Raw genomic sequence first — 26,133 nt, forward strand, 5'->3', positions numbered from 1 at the left:
CTCAGCTCAGCTGGACTTGGGGCCAGGCTATAATGTTATAAATGTTTTAAATGAGGAGCCAACCCTCTTGGGTCCTGTAAACATGTCCAGTTTTCCCTGATCAGACATCGGAGTCTGCTTAGGTCTGTCATAGGTGAATAGGTTTGTTCCCAGCCTATCCAACTCAAACCCTCTAGGAACTTATTTGAAAACCACAGAACATCATTCCATGCTTGATTTTGCACTAAGATCTTTCAGTGGGTTGAAACATACTGCACTTAAGAGCAAGTGTTCCTAGCTCCCGGCCCAGCTCCACGCCTGAGGAGGCTGCAGAGGGCATGCCATTCTCATTAACAATGCACCATTGCCAATGTCTCTTCTTGAAATAGGCTCACCTTGTTTCAGACAGAAGAAGGGGGTCAGACACAAGCAATACCTTGGCCACTCTATCTCCTGGGAAAATGCTTGCTTGCAAACTGAGGAAGGACACAAATAAGCATTAATACATGACTGTTCTCTAGATACATTAAGAAGGCCCCAAAGTGTCTTGAAGGGCAAACTTTGCCCTTAACCCTGATCTGTTGATACCCAAATTGATCCTAACATAGAAGGAAATTCAATGAGTATCTCCAATTACAGAGGATGGCCGATCAGAGATTTTATTTTATTTTACATTTTTTGAGAGAGGGTCTCTCACTCTGTTGCCCAGGCTGGAGTGCAGTGGCACAATCATAACTCACTGCAGCCTTGACCTCCCAGGCTCAGGTGATCCTTCCGTCTCAGCCTCCTGAGTAGCTGGGACTACAGGCATGTACCACAATGCCCAGATAATTTTTTTTTTTAATTTTTTTGTAGAGACAGGGTCTCACTTTGTTGCCCAGGCTGATCTCAAACTCCTGGGCTCAAACAATCCTCCCACCTCAGCCTCCCAAAGTACTGGGATTACTGGCATGAGGCATCATGCCTGGGCCAGAATTTTAGATACTATATTGTGTGACTAGCTGGAATGATATGGAAGATTTCCAAATCCAGAAGACTCAAAGACTCATTCTCCTTTCCTAATTTCCAATGAAATGCACATTTTGGGTCACTGGTGACTTACACAAGCTGATAAAATATCATCTCTTTCTGAACAGCTGTCCTGTCAGCTCCAGATAGTTGCTAAAGTGCTAGTAACAATAAAACATTGCAACATCACAAAGACTCACTCCGTCTATTTGACCAGGATGTCACGTACAGCACTGAGAAAGAATATCTTCTGTCAGAGGCCCACCCACGGCCTTCCCTGCAGACTTGGTGGGGGGAGTGCCATTGTGCAGGCATGGAGCTCCGTACCCTCCACACCCAACTTGCTCACACTTAAGCAGTTCTTCACATCAGCCTGGCTAGCTGGCTCCAGGCCTCCAAAAATGAGAGGGAGAATAAAAGGGTAACTGGTCAAAAGCAATTTCTCTTTCCAGGCACTTCATTCCTTTTGCATTTCAATAGTTGCTGTAATGAAAGAAGAAGGAGGGGAGTTTCTCCACTAAGTGTGGGAGAAAATGAAGGGAACCGCATGAGGAAAAGAAATAGGAAGGCACAAAAATCTTTATGATTTGACAAATATAAATTATTCTAGAAACATAATAAATAACACTTATCAGGCCAGGAGTGGTGGCTCATGCCTGTAATCCTAGCACTTCGGGAGGCCGAGGCAGGTGGATCACTTGAGGTCAGGAGTTTCAGACCAGCCTGGCCAACATGGTGAAACCCCCATCTTTACTACAAACACAAAAATTAGCCTGGTGTGGCAGCACACACCTGTAATCCCAGCTACTTGGGAGGCTGAGGCAGGAGAATTGCTTGAACCTGGGAGGCAGAGATTGCAGTGAGCCGAGATTGTACCACTGTACTCCAGCCTGGGCAACAAAAGCAAAGCTCCATCTCAAATAAATAAATAAATAAATAACACTTATCATCAAGTATTTACTATACAACAGGCACTGGGTGTGCATTATTTCATTTACTTCCAATACAAGTTGCCCTATGAGGTAGACATTTTATTTCCCTTTTACAGTTGAGGAAAGTCAAGCTTTCAGCCCCAGTTGCACAGGTGGTAACCAAAAAAGGCAAGGTTTGAGACCAGGCCATCTGATCCCTAGGCCTGCCTCTTATAGGCTGTAATACCTCTGCTATGACAGCCAGACAGAGGCACATGAGGACAGCTTCTAGCCCAGCAAACATCTTAAGAGCAAGAGAAATATGTTCCATGTCACCTTTCATAATTACCTACCATTACATTTTAGGATGCCCATCTTTCTTTTCACTGGCTTCTTCTCTAGTGCAGAGAGCAAGGACTAGCTCAAGGGCTGTCAGGTGGCACAGGAAATCAAACATTGGTCCTAAGTGGCGAGCACCTGGCCAAGTCAGGCCAGACAAAGGCCAACCACATTTTCTTTTTAATAAGGGTATTAGTCTGCTCAATCAGGAGACATGGTGTATCTGATGTTCAGCAAGATATTTGACCAAGTCTTTTAGGATACTCTGGTGGGCAGGATGGAGAAATGCAGAGATTGGCAATTGTGACAAGTTGTCTTCCCCACAAACTGCTGAGGAATGGGCTGGTGTCAGTCTCAGACATTGCTCTCCAGACTTTTTATCAACATTCCAGACAATCTAAACTCTCACAGGTGCTCCCCATTCCCCTCTGAGGAGTTGAGCCCCTTCTCCTGGCATCTCGCTCTGCCAGTCCCATTCATACATACCCACCGCCCCTCCCCCAGGCTGTGCTTTCTTTTGTCTCTGGTCCTTGGATCATGGGATTGCCCCACCTGGAACACTCTTCTTTCACTAATGCCACATCTCTTGCATCTCAGCTTAGAGGTCACTTCCACAAAGCAGCTTTCTCTGACCACCACCCTCAAAACTGGACAAGATGTTCACCCCGGGTCACCCTTCCACGTGTGCACCCAAACATGCACACCACTCATCATCACAGGTACTGTTCATGTTGTTGGTAACTGGTTTGTATTCGTCATTCGACTATAAATTCCATGACAGAAGGGATATGACTACCTTGCTCACCATTTTATCTCCGATATCCAGTACCATGATTGGCATATTATAGCAGGTTTTCAGTAAATGTTTGTGGAATGAATAATTGAATAAAATCAAGTAACCTCGGACTAATGACAAAATCAGCATTTTAAAAAGGTGTCAATAGTCTAGGACAGTGGGGTGACTCCAGCAAGATTAACTGGGATCAATGTTAAATAAAACACATGAGTTTAAAAAAAAATCATCAACTCAAATACTAGGTGGGAGACATATGATTGTAGCAACACTTGTGAAAAGACATGGGATTTTTAATTGTGAGTTGAATGTCATTGGTCCACTCAAAATGATAATGTAATTTTTGTATTTATGGTTAGGCACAAAGTATCTTAGAAGTAATGAATTTTGAACCAGTCAAACCACACTGAGTACTGGTTCTGTTCCAGTTGCTATATTTTAATATAAAAGATGACAAAACAGACTGCATGCAAAGCAAAACAATCACAAAGAAGACAATATTAAAAACCAAGTTATACAAAAAATGGCCAAAGGATCTTGGATTGTTCAACCTCGACAAAAGAATGTTTAGCTAGAAGGCATGATCACAGTCATGTGGAAGGCCAATTAGACTTGTTCTGTATCTGTTTTGAAAGTAGGCCCAGCACTGGGTAGAAGGTACAGGTGTGGAGGAGAGATTTCCAGCCCAGTATAGAGCTAATCGTATGGGATGAGAGTTGTTAGGAAGTGGACAGGGGAAAGGGGATTGGCGTGGTTGGGAGCATCCCAAGAAGTCTTCAAAGAGAGTAGTCTTCAACTAAATGGATGCCTACTTGGCAGGGATATTATATTGGGGATTTTAAGAAACAAATGCAGATTTAGACTTGACAGACTCCACAAAGACCCTTTCAGATAATTCAGGAAATAATCTGCAGGCCTCGTGTTGTTGCATTTCAGTGACATCCTCAAATTTGCATGACGGAGCCAAGGCAGCCACATTACTCGATCCCACTAACCCTGAGCTGTTTCAGATCTGTGTTGTTGTATTTCACCTCTTGACTTGAAGCCTTATAAACTAGAACTCAGGAGACCTGGTTTTAGTCCTGAAGTCCAGAGGATAACTTGTCACTGATTAGCTGAGGGCTTATCATTGTGTTTAAGCTCAACTTCTACAGCTGTAAAATAAGGAAGTTTGGACCCATTTGTTCACTTAGTTCTTGCCATATACACGTTTTAAAGCATTAATGTTTCTCAGACCTGGTCCTAGGACCACAGCATCAGAATCACCAAGGGATACTATTGAGTATATCGATTCCTAGGCTCCATGCTAGAATCTGTGAGTAGAACCCAAAAGTATACATTTTTAATAAAACACCATCAATCACTAATAGGCACACTGAAGATCTAGAAATGATTTAAAAGGGTCTGTGTTCCTTTAAGATCAGCACAGCAGATAGGCAGAATTCAGGCATAGAGAGGTTAACTTGGTGGCCCACATCTCTTGGTAAAATTGTTCCTAGAAGAAAATAATCAGGACATCTCCTGTTCTCTTTGAGGACCTGAAAACTGAAATCAGGTGGGTGGAGAACTAGAATAGTCTCCAAGACATCTCTAGTATGGCTGGAGAAGACTCAAACCCTGTCTGGTGAGGAGAGAACCAGAGCTTTATAACAATAGGCAGCCACACACTCTCCAACTCTCCACAGCAGGTGAGGACAACAGCAGGCACAACTCCACAGCAGGTGAGGACAAAATAGCAGGCAAAGCTGCCAGACTGTAGAGAAAAGTGTAGGGCAAGGCCTGGCAAGAAGCTCTCACTCCACACATTTATCCCTTGGGAGAAAGATGAATCAGGGGTTGAAAAACTGGGCAAATTAAAAAGCAAGGGATGCTCTTAATTAACTGAAAACCATGCTCCACCAGGCTCAGGAAAGCAAGCGTTTCAGATCACGGAGCGATGACTCTATCACAGTTGTAATCATTACACAGAATATTTAGCCCTGCAAAATATTTTTGTCTCTCAATTTCGAGGTCCCAGAGAACTGTTTTCTCAAACTTGCCATGAAATTTCCTTGGTTTGAAGACCGAGTAAAATTAATAGAGTTCTTTATTTTAATTGGTGAAGAGGAGTCTGTATTTAAAAGCCCTTTGGCTACAGACCCCAAGTAGATGTTAGACTATCACCACTCACAAGTCCATTTTCTCACATATAATTCCACTGAGGTTTTCCTGAAACTGAGACTCATTAGTAAAAGTTTTTTTCTTAATCTCTGTTTGAAATGCACATGACATTGCTGGTTATAAAAATTCTGGTTTTGTCCTATAGCTTCTTATCTAGGCAAGCGCCCTAAAATAACAGAAGTTTCACTAAGTCAGCGGCTTGCATAAGCCTCACTGTCTGATATTTAAGCTGAAATGTCCCAGATGCTGGCACATTCAATATTTATACATTTAGCAACTACCTCAAACTCCTGCCCAATCCCTCCACAAAAACAAATCCATGGATGCTCATCATAAATAGAAGTATTGCCTAATAGAGAGGTTTCCAACTGTTTCGATGAGGCATATTGAAAAGGTTAAGACCACAGATTTGCCCATGAGCATGCCAAACATTTGGGTCTTGCACGAACCAGAACAACTTTTGATGTCCCTCTCCTCTTAAAAATTACAGAAAGGCTTTATTTCTAAGTCATGAGCACTAGTCAATCACAAAGTCATACACACTGAAACCTCCAATAGCATCTCCTTAAATGACACCTTCTGTCTCTCGGCTCTAAAGTCACTTAGGTGCCTTTATCAAATCAGCTACAAAGCAAATAAATCCTGTGAAGAAAATATTACTAATGCTGAAAAGAATAAAAACTAAAGCTTGCCTATGAAGAAAGTTAATTTCATATTCCTATCAGAGAGTCATCCAGTAATACTTCTGGAAAAATAAAAAGTACCTTACCCAGAAACAGTTGAATTAGCAGATGGATTTTGACAGGACCTGCATAATTAAAGTTTCCACTGCAGCTTTAGAAACTCCTGTTCTGAAACCCATTTTGTCAGCCAATGCTAAAGAATGTTTTTTTGGCTCTGGAATATAAAATCCAAATAGTCCCAGAGGAGAAGCTGCCTCTCAGCCTGGACACCCTCAAGAACTGCCTTTCAAAGAACAACTCTTTCCCCTGGAAATGGATCTTGACATTGACATTGTCATGTTAATTGGCCAAATTCAAACACAAGTCATCTCTTGAACTAGCAATTGGAAGACCTTTGGGTAGTCTGTTTTAAAACTTTTTCCTAAAGGAAAAGAGACATGCTAGTAAAAAGTCAGCCTTGGCATGCTAGTCCCTAATAATTAAGGACCCAAGACCAAAATGCTGTTTGTTAGCTGCTGCTGGCCAAGAAAGCCTTCTTCTTTCCACATATTCTCCACTGGGCAGTACGAACATGCACTCAGACCTCAAAACCCAATATAATAATAAATGGTTAGACGTGGTATGAATAAATTGTCACCTACATATGTCTAAAACCTTGTATCAACCAACAGTTTTACTCTTCTTCTGAAGCAAATTTTGTTCCATTTTAATACACACCTATTCACAAGGAACAGAAATAAGCATTTAAAGGTGGGGCAATGAGGGTCTCACAGCTCCAGATCCATGGCCTCCATACAAAGCAACCAACTAAGGGGACTGGGGAAATGCAGAATACAAAGCTCGTGATGGATAAAAGATGCAATATCCCCAACTAAAATCTTCTCACCTACCAAAAATAAAAATAAAAACAAAAAACAAAAAAAAACAGTAAACAGCATTCTTGAGATGGGATTTTGATTTCTGGGCCTGAAGGTAAGATGTCAGTCATGTTGCCAAAACCAGTGCTATTTCTGAGTCATTCTGTTCCTGGGTCTGGAAATGACCATGGCAGAGTTCAAAGAAGGATGACTTAGTTTCTAGGACTCCATAATTGGAAACCATAAGGCCCTGTCTCACCAATTACTAACCAAGAAATATTTTTGACACATCGTTTCTGCCTGGTTCAGATCTACTACTGAGGACATATCCTTAAACTTGATTAAAAGAAATGAATGGCACAATTGGAAAGCATAACTAGAAATAAATGCTCCATATGTAAGAAAAATGTAGATTTTACATACCTGAAGACATGTAAATGTTGGCTGTATTACAGTTTCTGTAAAACTCCTCCCACTGATTTGAAACCCTCAAGCATCAGTTCAGAGGAGTCACTGACAGAGTCTCTTGCCCAACTGGTTGCAGGAACCTAATACTGGCAAATGTGCAGTGTGCAGCACGTATGTCTCTGCTTTAGAAATCAGGCTGTGCGGGGCCACTGGTGTTGTGAAATAAGTCTTCCATCTTAGGAGTGAAACTAAAGGCTCGATCTGTTTGTATCTGAGAGCTGGAAAAACCCAGGAAATGGACTCCCTCTTTAGAAATGAGCAATGAGCAAAATTAAGATGTAAATTAAATGGCCTGGAAGTCAATGCTGGCTTACCTTGGGGAAGCTGATGGTGCTCTGTAACCAAGTCCTAAATAGCAGATGCTTTGGGCATTCCCAAGAGGGTGGCCACTTAGGCCCCTGGGAGGGTTGGGCACACCATAGCACTGCCTCCTGGTAGAACTGAGGACCCAGAAAGAAAGAAACAAAGAAAAGTTGAAGGAAATCAGAATATGCCATCCCAAAAGATGCCAATTTGGCATATTAGGTATTTTGAGCTGAAGGCAACTAAAAAACAGCAGATGCAAGAATGACTCTTTGGCCTTTCCCTTTTTACCTAAAGAAAGAACTAAACTTCCCATGACAATGGTGCCTTCTCTTTTGCCAAAAAGAGGAAAACATTCTTATTATGGGGTGAGGGATGGAATGGGATTAATCTGTATAAACAAACCTACCAAAATAACCCTTATGTTCCATTAGTTCCTCCATTATTTCCTCATCACTTTCTCACAATTTGCCACCCCTAGCCCAAATCCCTTTTTCCTTTGTCTTGTCAGATCTTCATAATTCACTTTTTTTTAATTAAAATTGTAAATAAGCTTTCAGACCTATCTCTTTTTTTGGATCTTTATTTCCTTTTTTCTTTTCTTTCCTTTTTTTTTTTTTTCCACAGGGTCTCACTCTGTTGCCCAAGCTGAGCACATTGGTATGATCACAACTCACTGCCACCTCCGCCTCCTGGGCTCAAGCAATTCTCCTGTCTCAGCCTCCCAGGTAGCTGAGACCACAGGCATGCACCACCATGTCCAACTAATTTTTTATTTTTTGTAGTGACAAGGTCTCACTGTGTCACCCAGGCTGGTCTTGAACTCCTGGACTCAAGAGATCCTCCTGCCACCCACCTCTGACCTCCCATCTCCCAAAGTGCTGGGATTACAGGTGTGGGCCACTGCTCTCGGCCGGAACTTCATTTCCTATATATAAATGCATGTAAAAATATTAACATCAAATAAAGTTTGTATGCTTTTCTCCTGTTAATCTGTCTTTTGTAAGTTTAATTCTCAGGCCCAACCACAGAACCTCAGAGGGTAAAGGAGAAATCTTTTCCCCCATACAAGGTCTTCAGGGTCTGGGAAGGCCATAGAAGTAGCTTGATACAAAAGTGTTTACAATGGAGAGAATACATTGTATTCTGGGCTGGGTATAATGTAACTGATGTGGAAACACAAATATAAATATATAACCCCACCTTGGCAGTGGTTTTATGCATAGTTGGAAGAAACCAGTAGTTCTCAAGAGCTGGTCCCATTTTAAAAATTATCCCCCCCTATCTTATCACCCTATGCCACTACATTCACACACACACACACACACACACACACACACACACACACGTGAAATCAGGTTGAAGAACCATAGGGACATCCTTATTCTGAAGCCTTCAGAGAACACTTAATCCTATCCGCTAATGTGACCAAAGAGAATATTGAGGTTAGAGACATACTGTGACTTAGCCAAGGTCTAGGCAGGACTACAGTCCAGGCACCCAGTCTCCTAATCCAGTACTCTCTCCTCTACACTAGCTAAAATGTGTGAAGGTGCTTAACCACAGCAATAGACATTGTAATAGCCATCCTCTCAACCTTTCACTTATAGGACACATGTTCACTAGCCAAGCATTTTAGTGGCTTCATCTCTCCTTAGGCATGGCTCCAGTCTTCACTCCATTCTCCCCACACCCTCACTTCTAGTCTAAGAAGCCTAAGGTGTCTCCGCCCATTTCATCAAAGCCACAGAAACTTAAAACTGAGTGGCCCAGGAATGGCAGAGTCTAGTAGGGCTGGAGCACTCTGTTTATCAGAGGGAAGAGAGAACTACTGGAGGCCAATGGAAATGGAAGATATTTTGAAGATAGATTGCAATGGGTCTCGAATATCCTGCTGAGAGATAGAGAATAAAAAAGGCTACGAACCTTTTTAATGGATGGCCCCAGCCTGCTCGAAGATGACAGATTCATTATGATAGTTGTATTTGTTTCTTTCTCTATTTAATGTTTGTGATCCCGCTAGAGTGGATGCTCTTTGAAGGCAGGAACAATGACTCTCATGCTCAACTCCACATCCCCAGTGGATAGCAAAATGCCTGACACACACAAGTCCTCCAAAGCTATCTGTTGACTGAAGGAATACACACAAAACTACAGACATACAACTCCCCTTACATTTGTTATTGTGAACTCTCTTGGTCAGTGGCCAACATTTATATTTTGGGAAGTAAAGATAACCCAGTTGTCACTCCCTTGGTAGTTTGTCCCCACCAGTTACAAAGATGGAGGGAGAGAGTTAGCCAATATCAGGATAGAACAATGGCCTGGAAGTGAAGAAACTTCTCTGGCTGGCTCAGTCTCTGACTCACACATGACCAAGGACAAATCATTTAACCTCCTCTTGCCTTGTTTTTACTGTATGCAAAATAGAGCCGATAACAATACAAGCCTCCTCCTTCCCTCTGAGGGATATTCTGAGAATTGGAGAGATGCTATCTTAGAAGTGATTAGAGCTCCTAAGAACTGGGCTTTCAATACAGAAGCAGTGTTGTTCTCAGGCTGTGCTACAGCTGTTGTTTTTCATTATGAAAGGTAATATTGTAAGGCCTTGTTGGCAACAATAGGAAACTGTTGCTATGTGTTGACACAATGATACAACAAGCAGGAGGGCAGGCACCTTAAAAGTTTAATGGTTCTGATTTCATTCATTGAATTCCTTCTTCCTCACCTCAAACCTCAATCTCCATTATTCTTTATGGATAGGTGTTTTTAAATTTTTTTCTTTCTGACTTTCCTCAGCTGCCAGGACATCTGGAGAAAAAGCTGGTCCAAGACATAAGTATATTTTTCCTAATTGAATCATAGAACCATGGGGGGAACGTGCTTCGTAAGGAGTCACTTAGTTCATTCAATTCGACAAACTATTTCTGAGGATTTTCTGTAAAAGGACATATATAAAGATGAATAAAAGCTGTGACCATATTTTCGGAAGAGATGTATGGTCTGACAGGCACGGGTGTACTTATATGAGCAGTAAGACAGGAAAAAAAAGTCACTTCCCTGGAAAATCATGATCATATAGAGGTTGTACATATTAAACATGGTTTCAGCTTTTGCAGGAGCTCACAGGCAGTGCCAGAAACAGATACAAACTCTTCACTACAAAACAAGGCAAGCTGTAAATGACTTAGAAGTAAACTTGCCTGGGAGTACAGAGGAGAGAATTTATAATTCTGACTCTGAGGATTAGGAAGAGACATTCAGAAGAGGGAACATTTAAGCTCAGCAAGGATAAGTCTCTCAACAATGAGAACAGTGTGTGCAAAGCCACGGAAACATAAAACGGAGTCAGAAGGGATGGTCATCAGAGTCCAGGGGGCTGGAGTACTGTGCACTTTGGGGAGGGTTGGATGGGGTTAGAGATGGAAGGGATTTGAGAGACAACTTGTAAAGAGACAAAAGTATCAACACTTGCTGAGAGGGTGGGAATTCATACTAGCAATAAAAGGCATCATAAATGTTGAGTTGGACAGGACGATACAACTTGTGCTTTGGAAATGATAGCTCCTAGAATCTGGGAGACGATGTGGATGACTACTGCAATAATTCAGAAAGCAGATGCTGAGGCTTGAACTAGCCTTCAAGATATGGAAGAGAGGAGACAGGGTTTAATCAACTATGAACAAACAGGATGAGGTTCTCGAAGCAGAGGAGGAGTGGAAAGTGATGCTTGGAAGAACTGTGGTCTAACTATTCCATTATGTTTATGCTATCAGCCCAAATGGCACCTTCCTATGCCAAGACCTGTGGCCTGAAGTTGAACCACCTTCTGGGTTTTAGCATGAAATCCTTACTTCCTCTAAAGCAAGAATTGGCTCCTGTTTAGATTGGAACACCATAACCAAGCCATGTTCATGGGGCCACAGAGTACAATGGCAGGAAAGAAAGTAGATGCATAAAAAAATGAAACAAATAAAGATAGAAGAAAATAAGAAAAGTTGGCCAGGTGCAGTGGCTCACGCCTGTAATCCCAAAACTTTGGGAGACCAAGGCAAGAGGACTGCTTGAGCCCAGGAGTTTGAAACCAGCCTAGACAACATGGTGAAACCCTGACTCTACAAAAATATACAAAAATTTGCTGGGTGTGGTGGTGTATGCATGTAGTCCCAGCTACTCAAGAGGCTGAGGTAAGAGGATCACCTGAAAGATCAGGAAGTTGAGGCTGCAGTGAGCCATGATCATGCCACTGCACTCCATCACGGGCATCAAAGTGAGACCCTTTCTCAAGAAAAGAAAGAGAGAGAGAGAAGGAAAGAAAGAAAGAAAGAAAGGAAGGAAGGAAGGAAGGAAGGAAGGAAGGAAGGAAGGAAGGGAAGAGAGATGAATGACTGCCAATAATGATGTCTCACTCCGGGTGCTTTCTCCAGCTCTAGAGCTTAGAAAGTCATCTGAAAGAATATTCCCAGTCTCCACAGATGAGAGACAAGCAGCTATTGTTCTTGGCCTCTTTCAATACATTATAACTTTAGGGGACTAGTTTAGAGCAAAGAACTCTGTAAAGACCATCACAATCTCTCTAACTTGGGATTGCCAATGATGTCAATTTTTACTGCAACGTTTGAAATGTCTCCATAATTAACTAACTCATTTTGCACATGGTTTGACTAGCCATTATGATTGTAAGATCTCCAAATGCATTAATTCATTCAACATTCGACCAAGTTTATTATGTATATACCATACACTCAGCCCTGTGCTAGGCTTCAAAGAAACTGACGTGAACAAAACTAACAATCCCTGACTTCATGGAACTTATAGTCTAATAGGGGATACAGAGAAAATATTTTAACACCTAAACATTTTCATTACAATTTGGTCATGAAGGAATAGTATAGGCACCATGGAGCAACCAGATCTGGTCCCATCCATTTTCACAGACTTGAAGGATGGGTGGGAGTTTGCCAAGCAATAACTGGAAGAAAGTGGATTCCAGGTAGAGACAATAGTGATGTGAAGGCCTGAGATGGGCCTTCTGGAAGGACAATGTGGCTGGAGCCTTGAGAGCAAGTGGCAGAGTAGCTGGAAGTGAGTATGGAAACTCACAGAGGCAAGCCTTTTCCATGTCCTGTCATTACTGCCTTAGCATCTAGAATCAGAACACATGAAGAAATGCATCATGGAGTACTAGAAGTATCCTAGCCTATTGGCAACAAGATGCCCCCCGTGCTGAATTCATCTTTACCTAATGGCATGAGGCTGGATGAAATGGCTTTCATAACTTTGCTTATGCCAAGAACAGCCTTGTAGAAGCTCACAAGAATGAAGATAGCATCTCTCTTACCTGTGTTATTATTCATCTATTTCATGGCAGTAAAACCAATGGTTGTAAACTGACTCTAAAGTTAGTTCAATACCCCCTTTTCATGGAAGAGGAGAGATATGCAGGAGCTAGTTCTCAACAGCCATGTTGATATAACAGACACTGTTCTTTTAGGTCAAATGTCTTTATCCACTATTTCTAGGCACCCAACCCTCTTCTCTGCTTCAGGATCCAGTTCAGATTCATCTCTCCTATGGAACATGACAAGCTCTCCACTGTCATGCTCTTAATATCTTTCCCATTCTCTTTAAGTTCTACCTTATAATAATCTATCTTGTCAAGAAGCAAGAACAGCTCTTCTACTCCTTTCCATTTCCTCCTAAGGTTTGACATAAATGAAAACAAATGCATGAAGATGAACTTGTTATATAAAATGTACATAAATGGATGAATGATGAATCATTCTGTGAATACCAAAGTGCTACAGTTCAACTCACAGGGGCATTCTTATCATCTGGACCCTCATGCTGATTTTTTTAAGATTGGAATCCTTGTCAGGTTTATAGTCTTGTTTCCCTTTCCAGGGAGAGAACGGTAAGAGCGAACAAGCAGGGTGGGGAAGAGCTCTGTATTCTTAAAGTAGGGACTCCAGTATCTGGATTTAAATGAAATCAAGAGAAAGGTGAAAGACACAGATGAATCTAGACTATCATAGAAGTGTAAATGAGTATGAGGCTACTGTTTCCATCCACTAGTGACTCAGCAACGAGCCCAGGACTGATCCCAGGGCAGAGAACCTCTTAGCCACAGATACACCTTCATACCTGGTAGCTAAAGAAGGAGATGTCAGGTGCTACAGTGTCATTTGAGGCCAAAAACCCATAGGGAGGTCAGTAATCTATAGAGGGGCCACAAGAAAATATGATCCTAGCAAGCTGGTGTCGAAAAGGACTCTTAATCTTTTTTTTTCACATGCATAAGTAACTGTACGCTGCATGTCAATGAGTTTTCTCTAAGCAGCCAGGCATTGAAAACCATTTACGTGGCACTGGGTATGTATTTTAATAGCATCAGTCTAAAGGTCAAGCAATGCAAAGAAAAGCAGACAGGAAGCAGGCCAACAGCTCAGGCAGGTAATTGAGCGTGCAAAAGCACTCTCCTACCATAGCGACTACTGACATCTTTGTTTATCTCTCCACTACCTGGTGTGGAAATGGTATTCTTTTATTTTCTCTTCTCTGTTTATGTTAGAAAGTAGCTATCAAGATAAGGATTATCCTTCTAGAAATAATATTGCTATTGGCAATAGTCTATCAGCAAAAGATGGGCTTTCACTATACAGAAGAGAGTCAGGGAGTGTCAGGTGTCAGATCTCAGAAGAAAACTCAAGTATCACAGGGAAGATCAGAACAAAACTGAGAGTGGAGGTGGACCTTTAAAAATATGGAAATCCCCAATGTTAATTCCAGTTTGGAGTCCTGGCAGATCAGAATGTTGAGGGAATACTTTTATAATTCATTGCAAGGTCTGCTTGCTGCAGCTATAGAGAATGACATCCATCCATCTATCTGTCCATTCATCCAACATACAAGCATATATTTAGCACATGAATAATAGTGATAATTATATGTAGCTACAATTTCATTCATTTCTCATTACATTCCAGGAACTGAGAATATATATATATGCTTCTTTGATGCTTGTAACAACCCCCAACACTTCAGTTTGACAAAAGTGGAAACTGAGACTCAGAAAAGATTAAGTAAGGCTGCTTGAGGAGTCAAAAAGTAGTGGGACTGGACCTAAGGGCATGTCTGACTCTAGAGTCCAGGCTGTTAATCCTGAACTGATGTCTACTTTACTTCACATGAGACTCTGCTAGGTGCCATGGAAGGCACTGCCCTCCAGGAACTTAAAGTGTAGTAGAGAAGAGGAACAATGTAAATCACTAAGAAATACTAGTAAGAAAAATAGCATCTTTCCCGAGGGCTGTACAGAGTTTCAAAGCTCATCAGGTTTTCCAGGGTGTAGTGAAAGATTTCATGGAAGAAGGAACAATTGAATAAATTCTCTGTTATCCATTTTAGAAAGCCAAGAAGTACTAAAAAGAACTTTCTAGGTATTAGAAATTTATCTAGAGTAGTGCATGCATTCACACACACACACAAATGTACACACTTTGAAGATGACTAGAAATGACTTCTCTATGAAAGTTTTGCTTAAGCTAATTTCAAAATGACTTTGTATTCCTTCAGAATACATCACTTGCTATGAATGAGAGCCAGAAAGATGCTAAATGAACAAGGGAAGAATGTTAAGATTTTTTTAATTCCCATGGAAAATTTTAAAAGTGGTCTATGCAGTTGACACCATAGGTACCACTGATTGAGAACTTGCAATGTGTCAGGCTTTGTGCTACACACACTATGTAATTTTACCCTCAATTTTATGAAGCATGTCCTTATTCTTCATTTAATGATAAAACTCCTGAGGCTCTGGGAAGTTAATTAATTTGCCCAAGTTCATGAAGCTATAAGCATCATGCTAGAATTTGAGCACAGTTCTCTTCAACGTACAGCTACTAACTAACCCATATTTGTGGTCATGAATCTATAGCATTAATCCTGGTAATTCAGCCTTCAAATAAATACTAAACGATTGGTAGGCCAGAACACTTCCTAAATATGTCCTCTTTCTTAAAGGAACAAAAGGGGTTTTTTTAACGAAGAAGAAAAGCGAAGAAAACAAAGAGAAAAAAATTAATTTATGACTTAGAATATACCAGTTATTCATTGAGCCCATTTATTTCACAAAAGTAAAATGCCAGAAGGCAACATTTCTCCAAATTACCCAGCCATAAGGGGCTAAGTTTAGTTAGACTTTCAGTAACTCTGCTGAGGATGGAAGGAGAGAAGACAAAGATGGCAAAGAGACAAGACTCAAGGAGAGAAAAACCAATGGCCCATTAAAAAAACCTACCCAACTATTCCTCTAAAACTTCAGTTTCTGTGCACAAGGCTAAAGGAGTTTGGATTTCTCCTTTCCTCTCTGAGTCACCAGCGACACTGTCCCATTTCTTATTAGAAAAATAAGCTGAAGTCAAGACATTTCCTAAGGAGAAGGAGAAGACTAGATACAAAGATGTTGAAGAGGCAGTGGCTGACTGATGAAATTTAGTCCAGAGTAACTCAGAAGGAACTCAGCTCTGAAGCCTCAACACTGTGGAAAGACTTGGGAATAAAGTAGTATGATTGATAGCCAAGAGCTTCTGAATCTCCAAACATGAGCTTGTGCAAAAAAAACAACTGTTCTCAAAACTGTGTAAACTGCTGGGGAATTAAAACAAACAAAAACAAAAACAAACCAAAAAAAACAACTTCCGGGCTAATATTTCTAAGACATTTGTAGTTTACACAACTGGCAGAAAACTTGCAATGGTTCAGAAGGGATAAAATTGGGTTTGTCTCTTCAAGGAGGCAAGAGCTTCCCCACAAGGGGCAGACAGTTTCTCCCAAATGCGAATGGTACCTCCTAGGAATCCAGGCTGAAAGGGAGGGTAAAGATGGCAATCCAAACAGGTGTGTGTGTTTCACTCTGGGAATGGAAACTAAGTAGTTCAGAGTGCTCCCAGGAGATATAATTCATAAAGTTCTTCTCAGACCAGTGTCTCACATGGCCCACATTGAAGGGCTGTAAATGCTGTTAGGAAAGAGAGGAGCCATCTGATCATCCACCTAGACTAGAAAAACATAATCTTTTTTTCATATAATTTTAACTTTTCTTTTAGATTCAGAGGGTACATGTGCAGGTTTGTAACCTGGGTCGATTGCATGATGCTGAGGCTTGAAGTATGATTGATCCTGTCACCCAGGTAGTGAGCACAGTACCCAGCAGGTAGGATTTCAACCCTTGTCCCACTCCCTCCCCCACCTATAGTAGTCCCCCGTGTCTGTTGTTGCCATCTTTATGTTCATAAAGAGCCTGGGGAGAGTAGTACCAGAGAGGTCCTCATTAGCCTGTGGACCCATATTTTGGAAGAAGCTCTGCTGCAGAGACTCCTCTCCCTCTATCTTTTCCTCTACTGGTGGCCTTCGCAGCAGGATGAAGCTGCCGGTGACCAAGGCCAGTCCGGTTCACTCCAGTCTCTGAAGCTTCTTCCTGAGGCCTTCTCCATTGGCATGAGCAGTGACTGGATACATGGCAACCAGAAATCAGTGAGGATATCTCTGGAGGTGCCCAGTTCCTCCCACTGTTCTGCTCTGGGTGCTGCCAGAACCAGCTACAAACTATTAGAAAGCTACAAGAAGCAAGGAACCACGTAGGTAGCCAGGATATCTCCCCTTCTCACAGCTACCTCCCTCCATGTTCGTTTCGGTGTGGAGCCCAGGGCCTTTGGAGGGCTGGCTATTGTGCTGGGACTCCTTTCCCTGCTTCCTTCACTCACTCTACAGAACTAGAAAACAAACAAAGCAAAAATGCTTGCAACCCCAGGGGAGATGAGAGGACTGTCCTAACTCCCTCAAGCTTTTCTGTGCAGATCCTAAGAGGCCCAGGATGCGGCCAGAGTCCTAGCCTGAGGACACTAACAAAGTTTGGTTCCTAAACTGTTGGCGCCTTTTTGAGATAAAAGTGGATGCTATTCAGAAATGGGGGAGGGGGGCGGTTCCCAATGACTGAGAAATCAGTGTGGGCTTTTATTGGTTATTGCTGAATATTTATGTCCCATTTATCACTGATCGTTGGCTATGAAAAAGCTAGATAAAGACATTGGGCCACCTGAGTGCCTGGGGCTTTCGATCACTAACAAGCCAGCCTATCAGAAGGCCCCATTTCTGAGGATCTGCCAGAGACAAAGGTTCTTTGTTAACTGGAATGCCCCAGAGCGAGGAGTTGGAGCTGTGTTGCTCTAAACAGAAGGAAGAGGGAGCGGAAAGACGAAAAGAAAACCTTTTGCTTTCCCAGCAGAAACCTAGGATTGAAAGCAGGGACTTTTGAAGGGAAAGGGCTCTTGGGGAATGATGAAGATCAGGGTAGGTGAAATCATCTTTCATGGATTTCCTACTCAGACTGATGATACAGCTCTGACCTGGCTGCAGGCCCGGGAAGGCTCCCTGATAAAGATGCAGAGCTGAGGTGAATTTCCAAGTCTCCCACTTTAATGTACCTTTGCTGCTGCCTTCCCCCAGATCTGGAGAGGCTAAAGAACTTTATTTTTCTTTTTTGGAGGGGGGCTGAGTACAGGAAGTTGAGAAGCTTGGAGGAAGATATGTTCAAAATAAACTGAGAACTCTGATGATTATTTTTAGTCTGGAAAGAGAAGAACAATTCTTTTATAGAACAAGCATTCACTTAAATAGGTTTCCCCTATCTGGGGGATCCCCAGAAATGCAAATCATCCACTTGTGACACTTAACGGTTCTTGCCCGGGATTTTGTTTTTTTCTTTTCTTGGCTGGATGAGCCATCTGGAATAAAAATGGGACAATCAAGTCCAGACCAGATCATTAGAAATGGACAATGGAATTAGGAACCACAGCCCGAGACCAGGAGGGTAAGAACTCTGTAAGATAGATTCAACTTTATCCCTTTCTCACAGTTATCATTTTTATTAGCCCATTGCTAATAAACATGAACAGGAAACATCCTGTTAATAATTTGCAGTAGGACGAAATGAAAGTTTGGAGCTTGTTTCCATGGGGCCATCAATGAAGTGAGCTGCTGTGGATGCTGCCGCCCAGCTGCCTCGGACCAGATGGAGGGAAGAACCCAGATGGAAAGCTAAGGCAGTGTTTAAAAAGGAAAGGGGCCTGAGAGAGCTGAGTTTGGAGGACCCCCCCAGGAAGGTGGAAAAACCAGGGAGCAAGCTTGGCTGAGACAGCCTTGGACCTTCCCAGGAAATCATCCTAGGCTCCCCATCAAAGGCAGCACAGTGGGCCCAGGTGTCCTGTCTTACTTATGCACTCCAATCATCACCTCAGGATGAAATCAGATCAGCATTTTAAAATTCCATTCTTTTTTTCAAAAACTATAACACTATACTTAGTTTTTAAATCCACATCATATAATTAATATTCGCAGCCCTCTGCCCCACTTTAACCCAATCCTCCTGCCCCAGAGGCAACCACCCTCACCTCATGCAGCTCTTGCCTCCCTAGGCATTTCTATGTTTGTAGGTGTGCTTACAATGCCATTTCTTGATGTATTAATTTTAAGCATTATTTATTGGTTCCCTGCCAAAGAAGATAGGAACTTTGCTCTTTCATACACACACACCCAACTTTCCTTCCCCCATCACCCCAAAAGAGTAATATTATATGGTTACATTAATAGTCGACATTCACAATAGAAGCATGCAAATATTATGCACCACTGATATGAGTAGCGCATAATATTTGCATGCTCCTATTGTGAATCTTGCTCAATGTTTGCTTTCCCCTGCACCCTTCATACCCCTCAGATGACTGAGAACTTTTCTAAGTTCCTGTAGAAGAGATGTCCAGGTTAGTCTGTTCAGTCCCTCATAAACACCACTGTCCACCCCCAGCACTCTGCCTTTATTTGCGTTGTTCTCCTACTTCTCTCTTCCTTCCCTCCAAATCCCAACACCTTATGTAACATTTCCTCCAAGAAGCCCCACTTGTTTCATTGCTCTTCTTTGCTCCTAAATGTCTGTATAATTCACAATCTTGAATACATAATTAATCCATTCATTATATTCTTTCTTATAGAGTGTGGCGTTATTTGTTCGTGCTATTCTTGCCTCTCCAACTGTAAGCTCACTGAAAGCAGGTATTTTCTGCCTTGCACATTCTCTGTATTTGTCACCCTCAAAAAAGTTCCATCACAGTGTAGCCCTCAATATATTTTCTGAGGCTACTGCTTTGGAGATCATTATAGCTCCCAGGTATAAGCCCTGGACAAATTCATCCTAGCAATCAGTTTTCTCTTAAACCCTTCTCCCTAAACAGAAACAGTCGAGATCATTACCCAGTGGGGAATTACAACCAAGCTAAAAATCCTCAGTCATCTTTGACAGGTGTTCTACCTTACCTACCCCATATCTGATCAGCTGCCACATTAGTGCCATGGTGTCTCCTCTCTGCCTTCTCATTGTGTTTCTACTGCCTCTTCCTCTTCCTCTTACTCTCCCACTCCTCTTCATGACTTCCATTGTCTATAGCCCAGACTGTTTTAATTACTTCTTGAATTACCTCCCCTTTCTTATCTCACCTTCTAAACCCGTCTACTAGATAAATTTTTCTACAGCATAGTTTGTTTTCATTCTGTGAAATCTTCAGTGATTCTTCATTGTTCTCCTACCTTACATTCCAGGTTCTTCTGGCATTTGAAAGTTTCCATTCAGTCTTAGTGCCTATTACCCTCAACTCATCCTCTACATTACCTCCAACTAGAGGCCTCATTATTTTCCAAACATACCTCCATGCTTTGTGGCCTTAATGCCTTTGCATGTGCAGTTCACCACCTGGAATTCTACTCTTCATCATTCCTACTGTCACTTCCACCATGAAGCCTTCCCTCCTCAGCTCAGCTAGGTCCTCCTCTAATCTGAATTTCTATAACCTTTCATTCCGTCTTTCTTGAGGAGCTTGTTACATTTCACTGCTTATTATCATTATTTGTGGGTCTGTCTTATCTCCCTGCCTAGTGTGAAAGATCGTGGATGGCCAAGACTCAGTAATTTCATATTCCATTCTCCACAAACATGGCAAATCACACAGATTAGGAGAGGCAGAAGTTGAATAAATGTTTATTAAGCAAGTGAATGAATGAAAACAAAACTGTGCGTTTGTCTCTTGAATATACCAGATCCTTCAAAAGACCATTCTGATACTCTTTGCTCTCTCTCTAGTAGGTGGCAGGGATAAGTTTCAATGCCCAGCTTCTAATAAAGTAGGAGAAGGGTGTAGCTAAGTTAAGCCTAGATGCTAGGCTTGCCAAAAAATGGTGTTCTAGAGTTAAATGGAGTGCCTCCTACTCTTATGCATGGGGAGGTTGCACTATTTCCCAATCCAAAGACCCTTTAGGGTATGGGTTTCAATTCGAAGAGATGGTAATTCTCTTCGAACACCAACCCAGCTTGCCTCAACCTCACAACTCAGCTCTAACTGCAAAACAGTGCCCTCCCCATCTGTAAGTGGAAAAGGAAGTCTCTGTCTATTTTTACAGAGATGAGGGGGAGGCCGAAGGAAGAATTTCATTTAATTTCTATTTCTTCTCTTGGCCTCTAACTTTCTGGCCAGGGGTTTCTATTTCAAAAACTCTGTATTATGTAAACACAGAAGGGCCCTTCTCAAAAACAGAAGCAACTTCTACTAATTTCCAGTCTCCTTTCTGGCACTCTCAGGAGTCCTGCTAAGCATCTTGATCCCAGGCAAATTTTTCCTTGGCTACAAAACACTTGTGATGGCCAACCCTGGGTCAACAGCTTCATTTGGCTCTGTGTCCCCAAGATTTTTGCAGTACTCTTCAGTTGAAAGCTTTCCTAAGAAAGAGGATGTTGTCCATGACTTCTCTGTTAGGCCAGCTCACACAGAGCCAAACATGTTTCCATTGAACAAAGCCTACCACAGCCAAGAATAACTCTTTAAAATGCCCTTTCTAACCCATTCCACAATTACACAAATAATTCAGGCAAAAGTGAATTGTGAACTACACATTCCATATCTTGATGCTGTGTAGACTACGTAGCCTGAACTCATTCTAAACAGGTAGACTACCTGCCTCCCCTATTAAGGAGATACAGCAGAAGGTAGACAAACACACAGGTGCAAGCTCCAATGGGGACTGTGTCATTTTTTAAATGGTCCAACAAAAACATGCCATTGAGATTGCTACCAAAGCTGGACAGCCTTCATAGCTCTGTATCAAAGAGGGCTGGGCCCATGCCCTGGAGATCTGAGATCTAAGATTAGCGAGCTCACCTTGATGCAGTGATGAATCAGATGAAATTATAAGAAAACAAGAATTATTTTTATTTTCCCTGCCTTTGTGCCACATACTAGTACCCTCAGGGAGAGAATTTCTGGAACCGGGATGCTAATAATGTAGATGAAGTGCATAGACGGTTTGGAACTATTCTGGATTCCTAGTCTTCTAGTCTACCAAGGATGGTAGCAGATGGCACAGGACCCAATCTGTTTCCAAACGTTACATTTGTGAGTAGAAACAGGCACTTTGGCCAGATTCCAGTTGGTACATTCAACAAAGAATAACATAAGCCTCAGATTTCCCATTGGTAAAACAAAGGAGGTTGGGTGAGCTATTCTCTAAAGTCCCTCCCAGCTCTAATATTTTATGATTCTCAGTGGTAAAAATTCAGGGATTTGGAATGACCAGTCTCATTCTCCCATTAAGCTCTGGGTGAATCAAAGGCCAGCATCACATTGCATCATCTCATGTACAGTAATATGTGAATGACATTACACAATGCCAGCTTTTATTAATGGGAACACTCTTCCAGCAATAATGCAATACCCTTGAGCTCATTCTGGCCTTCTTTGTTAGTACCCAACCCAGCTGCATTGTCAGGAGATACAAAATATTACATAGACGTTGGAAGTAGGAGCAGTAGAAGAGGGCAGACACATCAGCAAATGACACAACTAACAGCCTGTAGTCCTGTTCATGCTCACAGTGGATGCTTAGTGAATGCTTGGTGACTAACAGTGAGTAATGCAGAAACACTAGTGGATCTATTAACTGACTAGAGTCAACACCTTTGCACTTTGCTATTTTCCTAGGGGCCAAGTCTCGGCCAGAATGGAAGGGAGGGAATTCAAATTTAAGAGCACTTTTAGAGTTCCCATAGGTTGAGAACTCTCATATATTGGTGTTCCAACTCCTAAGTATATGGATGGGTTCTCCTTCATTAAGCAGATACTCCATTCCTAAGAGGTTTGGCACAGACAAATTTTGAGTCTATTTTACATGCTTTACTCCTGGCATGGGCTTCTGTCTTAAGTCCTTGTTGGCTCTTTAATGCTGCAGGCACTAGAATGGGAACCAGAAATCCTCAAGTATCTCACCACGTCTCTTACCTTGAGGAGTCCAAGAAGCTCTCCTTGAGTCCCTCGCTTGGAATTCCCCTGGCCCTCTGTAGACACCAACCCTGGCAAACAGCACCAACTTATAGCTCTGGAAGGAGAGAAGGAATAGGCAACAGGCTTAATGTAATCTTCTTTCAAGACACAAATGTCCCACCTCCTATGACTTCAAGAAAGAGTTGAGTTCAGCATTGTCCTTTGATGGTTCCACTACACCATTTGTTTCTGGAAAACACTGATATCCAACAGCCACCCTATGCATGCTACCTTTCTCACATCAAGACAATTCCTCTCCAGCCCCATTTTCACAAGACCCTTCTCTGAACTGTTTTACTGGAATCTACACACTATTATTTACTGGGAGCATACATCATTCCTTCTTTTTGGTCCCTGAGTGCCAGAGTGCAGGGTCAGGTTAAGAGCCTGGTTGGTCCCATGGGACAGAACAAAACCAACTGGCCACACAGAGACCAAGTTTTGAGAGAAATAAACTTTAGTAATAAGACACTTGCTAAATGGAAGAGAAGAATGTTAGGCTGGAATGAATTTTCTGTTCGTTTGGCCCCACTGTCTCTGCAAATCATATCAGATTCATAATGTCAGAGGAAGAGCTAGTTAACGTTTTATAAAGTGTGACACCCAGCACAGTTCCTTCCTCTGAGGTTCTGACTGATTTCTCTCTGTGCTCATTCCCCTTTTGTGGATGTTCCTCTCCTCTTGTCAACTCAGGTTTCACTGTTTTCCCTTTAACCACATTGAACAGGCTGATATCCCCTCATGCTGTAAAGGTGTGAGTTGTACTTGGCCTTGGACGAGCTTGGAGGACTTTTTCTTTTCAGGGAACTTAAAGGTGACATCTTCCATTGAGTCAGCCAGCCATTAGTTCGGGGAAACTTTCACATCATTTGCAGTTGGAAAGCAGTTAACATTGACGTGAAGTCTCTGCTTAGAAGTTTGCCTCATTAAGAGATATTTGAATTTCTACACGGCTAGATATTTAAATATTTAAATAACCCCAAAGAAGTGTAAACACAAAACCTAGAATAGTTACTTGCGTAATGAAGCTGAGGGGAAGCACCTAGATGAGAAGTTTCATAATTTTACAAGTTGCACGAATTCTTGGAAATTCCATAGAAGTGTCTGAAGAAATGGACCTCAGTAGGCCCTGTAATAAGTATGTTTGGCATAAGAGATTGCTGCCTTTTGGAGACCAGGCCTTGGGAAGAGGACTGGGTTGGTGTTACGAGTGTTCTCCAGAGAGGCTGGGGCCTTGTTACCACCTCTGGATATTTGGTCTGTTCTTCCCCCCAAATAGTTTTTAGAACCACCTCTAAGAGGTGTTCAGTGTGCATGATTCCCCAGGCTGCAAGATGTGACTTTGTGGCCAAGTAACAAGGACAGAAGGTGATGTAGGGAAACTGGTCCAGCCAGCTTGTGCTTAAAGATATGTGACATGTCTGATGAGCTGTTTTGGCTTTTGGACTCAAAGATTCTTCATTTTAACAAAACCAGGAAAACAAACCATAGAACTTTCTAGTGTTTCTTCTTAGCAGGGAAGATGAACCACACACCTTCTCACTCCATTCCTCAAGCTCTCCCCCTCCCCGGGCTTCACTTCAATACTGCCCCTCATGGCCCTCCTGGATCTCTGGGGGTAAAGTTTGAGCCCCGCAAGAGTCAGAGGCAGAGTGAGACCCGGTGATACAGCCTAACACGGGATCGAGAGATGCTGTTGTCTTACTTAGTAACAAAATATAAGAGTGTCTGTTGCAAAAATAACTTGGTAATAGAAAGCAAAATGTTTACACTTTGGCTGCAGCCAAGTTTGACAACATTAAGATGCTCTGCCTCTTTTCAGTAACCAAGGGGCACATAGAGTATTCAGAATCAGTGCTTTATGAGGTAACAAAAGCTAGTGTCTATGCAATATTCCCTTCACATGCTACTCGCCTGCAAAGGTTTTAGCAAACAAATCAAAACACTTTTTTCTTTTCCTCCGAAATGTTGAAAGGATAGAAATACAGACACTGAAGTCTGTCTGTTTTATTACAGATTAAAGCTAGCGTAGGGGCTGTGAAATTAAATATGCAGTCACAATAGTTTTCTAATTTATGTCAGAGTAAATCACACTTACCCAGCCAGGCACTGGTGGAACTGGATGACCGCAGGTCCATCTCCAGGCAGGTAGAGATGGCTCACCTTATGGCAGAGTAGGAAGCAAGCTTGGCCTGAGAACAGACGGCTCTGAGAAAGTACGGGAAAAGATATACCATGTTCACGCTAATCAAAAGAAAGCTGGAGTAGCTGTATTCATATTAGAAAAAGTAGATTTCAGATCAAAATGATGAAAAGGTCTTTCATAATTCTAAAGGAGTAAATTGATGAAGAGGGTATAACAATTCTTTGTGTGTTTTTTTTGTTTGTTTGTTTTTAGATGGAATCTTGCTCTGTTGCCCAGGCTGGAGCACAGTGGTGTGATCTTGGCTCACTGCAACCTCTGCCTCCCAGGTTCCAGCAGTTTTCCTGCCTCAGCCTCCTGAGTAGCTGGGATTAGAGGCGCCTTCTACCACGCCCGGCTAATTTTTTTTTTTTTTTTTTTTTTTTTTGGATTTTTAGTAGAGAGGGGGTTTCACTATGCTGGCCAGGCTGATCTCAAACACCTGACCTCAGGTGATCCGCCCACCTTGGCCTCCCAAAGTGCTGGGATTACAGGCGTGAGCCACCGCGCCCAGCCACAATCCTAAACAGTTATGCACCTAGTAACAGAGTTTAAAAATATACAAACAAAAACAGAGCTTGATGCCTTAAAGCAAAAACTGATAGAACTAAAAGGAGAAATAGACATATTTACAATTATAGTTGCTGACTATAACACTCGTCTCTCAATAATGGATAGAACAAGTTGACTGGAAATCAGTAAGGCCTTAGAACTTGGTAAGCAAACTACATACCTTTGGTCCAAATCCAGCTCATTGTGAGTCAAATATGGTCACACCCATTTATGCATTGTTTGGCTACAGCTGCAGATTGGCGTAGTTGCGACAGAATGTATAGCACAAAACTGAAAATATTTAGTATCTGGCCCTTTATAGAAAACATTTGCAGACCCCTAGGCCCCTAATTTGCAAGACTTGACAATGTCAACCAACTTAACATAAATGACATTCTTAGAACACTCCATTTACAGAGGACACACATTCTTTTCAAGTGCACATTGAACGTTACCAAGACAGACCAGTACCTAATTTC

General features: G+C 42.0%; 1 long non-coding RNA gene across 1 annotated transcript; it reads right to left on the reverse strand.

Annotated features, from left to right (window-relative positions):
* LOC107984012 (uncharacterized) lies at positions 394–25,825 on the reverse strand. The gene is made up of 5 exons (XR_001747465.2): positions 25,736–25,825; positions 25,019–25,128; positions 22,879–22,975; positions 7,513–7,638; positions 394–455 (listed from the first exon to the last, which is right to left on the reverse strand). It is a non-coding gene; the product is annotated as an uncharacterized LOC107984012 (long non-coding RNA).

Source organism: Homo sapiens, chromosome 10 (assembly GCF_000001405.40).
Source record: "Homo sapiens chromosome 10, GRCh38.p14 Primary Assembly".
NCBI classification, from domain to species: Eukaryota; Metazoa; Chordata; class Mammalia; order Primates; family Hominidae; genus Homo; species Homo sapiens.